This window comes from Homo sapiens, chromosome 11 (genome assembly GCF_000001405.40).
Source record: "Homo sapiens chromosome 11, GRCh38.p14 Primary Assembly".
Lineage (NCBI taxonomy): Eukaryota > Metazoa > Chordata > Mammalia > Primates > Hominidae > Homo > Homo sapiens.
The window spans coordinates 69929082-69933889 of record NC_000011.10 but is presented as its reverse complement, the minus strand read 5'-3'; the positions used below and the strand labels follow the sequence as shown (position 1 = coordinate 69933889).

The following is a 4808-nucleotide window of genomic DNA, read 5'->3' as shown; positions in this document are numbered from 1 at the left end:
TTGCCTCACATGCTGGGATTTTTTTAATGTTATTTTTAGATAGATAGTTCACTGCCAGTGTGTAGAAATACAATTAATTTTTGTACATTGATCTTGCTTCCAGCTACATTGATGGACTCATTTATTAGTTTGAAGAGTTTTTTCAGTGGGTTTCTTAGGATTTTCTGCATAAAAGATCATGTCATCTGCAAATACAGACAGTTTTTACTTCCTTTCCAATCTGGATGTCTTTTATTTCATTGTCTTGCCTAATCGCCCTGGCTAGAACTTCCAGTACAATGTTGAATGGAAGGGTGAGAGCAGACATCCTTGTCTTGTTCTTGATTTTAGGAGGAAGGCGTTTGTTCTTTTTTCATTAAGTACGATGTTAGATACGAATTTCATAGATGGCTCTTATCAGGTTGAGGAAGTTCTCTTCTGCTCCTGGTTTATTGATTCTGAATATCTTATCATGAAAGCATGTTAGATTATGTTCAATGCTTTTCCTACATCTATCGATCACTCTGTAGTATTTAGTAATATTTTATTTTAGAAATTTGTAATTTTCTTAAGAGATTGGTTGGTCCTTTTAAAACTTTTTGTCCTCTCTTTATTGAATTTGGTATCAGTGTTACACTAGCTTTTTCTAAAGACTTTTGAAACTCTTCTACTTTTTCCATGCCTTGAAACAGCTTACATGGTATTAAAATCTCCTGTTCTCTCAAATGACAATGGAACTCCCATGTGAAATTACTGGCCTGGTGATGTTTCGGCCTGGGATAGGGGGATTAAGAACTTTTTTTTTTTTTTAATGGTGATGGAGTTGTTCTTTTTTCTGTCTCTTCTAGAGTTAAGTTTTATGACTTACTTCTTTTTTTTTCCAGGAAGAACTGGTTTCATCTGAGTTTACAAACTTATTTGCATAGAGCCGATCAAAGCATTCTCTTGTGATGCTCTTATCTCTCTGTGTCTGTTGCTATCTCTCTATTTGTATTCTCTTACTCTGTGTATGCCTGTGTATGCATTTATCCCCTTTTCCTCTTGATTACTTCAGCCAGTTTAGCTGCTTTTTTTTCCCCCTTGAAAGAGTCAGCAGGGCTGAACCTTAGTGGAACAGCACTGCAGTTTGAGACTCCTCCTGTCCACTTCTGTTTCCTTCCTTCTCTCCTTCCATGCGGGTCGCCTCTTCATTGTGGCCTGAAGCCTCTTTCATGTTCTCCTGCTTCCTCCCCCAAAATCCTCTTCTCTGTCAGAGCCTGTCTTTGCATCCAGCCCTTGGCAGGCCCAGGCGAGGCCCTAATGCTTCCAGCTGCAGGTGGAGAATGGACTGGAAGGGGTGGGAATGCAGGTGGCGGGCACCGGCCTGGCTGCAGCGGCCTGGGAGGTAGAGAAGCTGGGGCTGGGAGGGGTGTACCGTGGAGGAATGAGTTGAAGAGCTGCTTAGAGTCAGCAGGGCTTTGGGATCAAATTGCATGGCTTGCATTTTGCCATTTATTGCCTTAAACACCCCTTCCCAGGATCACAGGGATCAGGTGAAGTTACAAAACTGAAGACAGGTTGAAATGTTGATTCAGTCTCTCAACTCTGCCCTAAAACCCCAGATCAGACCTCAACAAGATCTTACATGAGAGAGAAAGGAATGGGGCTCTAAGAGCTGCAGGCAAATGTTACTGAAAGAGCCTCGAAGGGCCAGGACCCCCGCTGGCCCTGCTGGCAGAGGCTAGGGAGCAGCAGTCTGCTGCTGGGAAAGCCACTGGAGGGTCTGGCTGGCTCTGATATGGCCTGGACAAGGTGCCTGGACCCAGGGTGCTCACCTGGGGAGACCGGTGGCCGGTAGCCCTCCTTCCCCTAAAATTCTAAGAGAAGAAAAAATCCAGCAGAAACAACACATTTCTGATTTTGTGGTTGTTTGTCTTCTTTGGCTGTCGTGCACATTGTTTCTTCTAGGAAATAGAATCAGATGGAAATGGGGGGGACCCCAGTGGGCACCCCAGTCACTTGGACTTCAAGCCACTTGGGAGAGGAGGGACCTGGCCACCACAGCCTCATCAGGGTCCTTTCCACAAGTGAGTGAGGCCCTAAACACACATGGAGTTGTGACGTGAGAAGCCAAGAGGTGGATGGGGAGGGGGCATCTCCACCAGGTGACCTTGATCCCTAGGATCCCACCCTGTGCAGATGGGTGGGGGGCATTGTGGGCAGAGGGCCCCACGGCTCAGGCCAGGTGTGCCAGCTGAGAGCACAACTGGTCTGGAAGTCAAGGATGAAGGACTTGACTAACTGGGGTCAAGTCCTTCATCCAGGGACAGGGAGCAGGACAGGAAGGCTGCGGCTAGGGCTGTCAGATGGGCTCCCAGAGGACATGGCAGTGACCGGGGATACTGGGCCACAAGGAAGGGCGACTCCAGGGACCATGTCCTGGGCTACCTTAGTTGGCCCATGTCCTTGGGACCCTGGAGACCCTGCTCTGCCTGGGCACTGATCCCTGAGCCTCCTTCCTGCTGAATGCCAGGACCAGAGGAAGCAGGGACTGCAGGAGAGTCAGACAGCCCCATTCCCAGCGGCTGGGACCTGGCAGGCATCTCTGTCCCAGGCAGCTGCCCCAGTCCTGAGATGCACATAAAACAATGCATGAAGCCAGGCAGGCTTCATGCAACGGGCATTTGATGAGCCCCAGGCCAGTCACAAGCCATCGCCAGAGGCTCAGCCACCTGCACTGGGTGGCCCAAGATAGCCCCGTGCAGGGGCCAGGGTTGGGGGGTGGGGGTAGGCCACACCCAGGGAGGAGGAGGAGGGAACCCAGAGTGTTCCCTCCTGCGGCCCCACCTCCCCACCCCACCCTAACCACTGGGCAGGTGAGGCCTGGCTCTGTCTGTAGTGTGCGCAGATCCCTGCTCCAGGGCTTTGGACCACAGAAGGAGGTGATAACAAGGGTCATAAAGTCATGGCGGGTTTGCTCTTCCAGACCATGCAGTGCACGCCAATCCCCTGCCCCTCGGTGCTGGGACGAGGCGCTGTGGGCATCAGGGCCTCTGATGCACAGGGTCTCTGCCCTTGGAAGGCTCCCATGTGGCAGGGGCAAGGTTGGGGGAGACAGCAGCAAATAGATGGATAATAGGATGGGGCTATGCAGGAGGACCAGGGGGCTCCTGGGGGAAGGGGCTGTATCCCAGGGGCTTTTCAGAGCTGGCGCTGGAGCCGAGGCCTGCAGGGGTCTGGGGGATGTCAGGGAAGAGGAGACCGCAGTGCCATGAGCCCGAGGCAGGTGTGTGTGCAGCTGCCACCGTGGAGGCGGTGGTGGCCTACAGAGAGAAGCCGAGACTAGAGGTCAGGGAGACTCCTGCCGGGGGACCTGGATCTAGGCTCCTGAGAGGCCCACAGGCTGCCAAGTTGGCATCTGAAAAATGCCGTTGTTGTTTAAGCTGGTCGCAGCTGGTGTCTGAGAAGGGCAATAAGGAGAATGTTGATGGGGATGAGGGGCCGGGGTCCCTGGGAGTTTGGTGGCCAAGATGGCCAGGTAAGTCCTCATCTCTTCTGGCCAGCCCATGGACTCAGGAAGACACTGGCCTGGGACTCGGCCTGTGCTGGCTGGTTGCCTGCCAGAGTGCCTGAAGGGAAGGGCCTGCTGGCCTTGGGCGAAGGGCTGTGTGTGCTGCAGGTAAGGTGAGGCCACTGCTGATGGGGCTGTCACTGGAGAGGGCTCTCTGGAACCCCCACCCCCATCCCAGCTTGGAGTACGATTGTCCCCAATGAGAACCCAGGCTGGCCCAGAGGAGGGTGGGAAGGGGCTGCCTCCACTCTGAGACTCCCCTCAGTGGGCACACTGGGGCCTCTGTGCAGGTTCACGCTGCTCCTCCTGGCTCCCTCCTTCGCAGAACAGCAAAGTGGTCACGGAGCATGAGCTTTGGAGGCACTGGAGCCAGGGGTTCAAATCCTGCACCCCCAGAACTACCAGCTGGTACCCTGGGAATATGCCTTTGACCATTCTGAGTCTCATTTGTCTCCTCTGCAAAAGGGGGCTCTAGGGATAGGCTACCTAGGTCCAACCTCAGGACTGTCCCTTCCTGGCTGGGTGACCTTGGATCAGAGAAAGCAGGGGTTGCATTGTCCCCTCCCCTCCTGTGAGCATTAAGTGCGTCAATACACAAAAAATGCTCAGGGCTGTGTCTGGCTCATGGTAAGAGTGCAGTTGATTGTAGCTAAGATCATTAGTTCATGGAGTGAGATGCCTACTGTGATCAATAACTCTAAAATGGCAATGGCTTTCACACAGAAAGATTCTTTGTCTCTCATGTCACAATCCAATGGAGGCAGGTGGTAAGGAGGGGACTCTGCTCCACACAGTCATTCAGGGATCCAGCTCCCTTCCAGCTTCTGGCTCTCTTAGGTGGCTGAGTCCTCCCTGAGTCCTCTGTAGATGAGGGAAGAGGCAGACGTGGAGAATGACAGGGGGCTTCCTGTGGGCCATACCTGAATCATTTCCACCCACATGCTACAGCCACACTAACTGCCAGGGGCTGGGACACGCAGGTTAGTGTGTGCCCAAGAGGAAAGAGGCCGGAGTTTGTGGAACAAACAAACTACAGATGGTGTCTTTCATAGCTACTTTCACTCTTCTTAGCTCCTACAGCTGCTGGGAACACTGAGAAGGAGGATGGGTGTGCAGTACACAGGAGAGCCTGGAACAGGTGAGTTATGGTCACAGTTGTGTCAATGCTGACTTTGACATCCCCGAGCGCAGTTACAAGGGTGACCTCAGACCTCACAGAGCTCTTCATGCTGGCTCTTCTCATGAGTAATAGCAGAATTTTCTCCTGGGGCAGCAATGT

The 4808-nt window shown here is 52.3% G+C and overlaps 1 annotated feature.

Moving 5' to 3' along the window:
• Positions 801 to 1777: an enhancer, noted in NCBI's record as "NANOG-H3K4me1 hESC enhancer chr11:69778215-69779191 (GRCh37/hg19 assembly coordinates)". NCBI's record gives its function as "activates a minimal SCP1, AML or CMV promoter by ChIP-STARR-seq in primed H9 embryonic stem cells {active_cell/tissue: H9 hESC(primed)}" and the evidence as "EXISTENCE:reporter gene assay evidence [ECO:0000049][PMID:30033119]".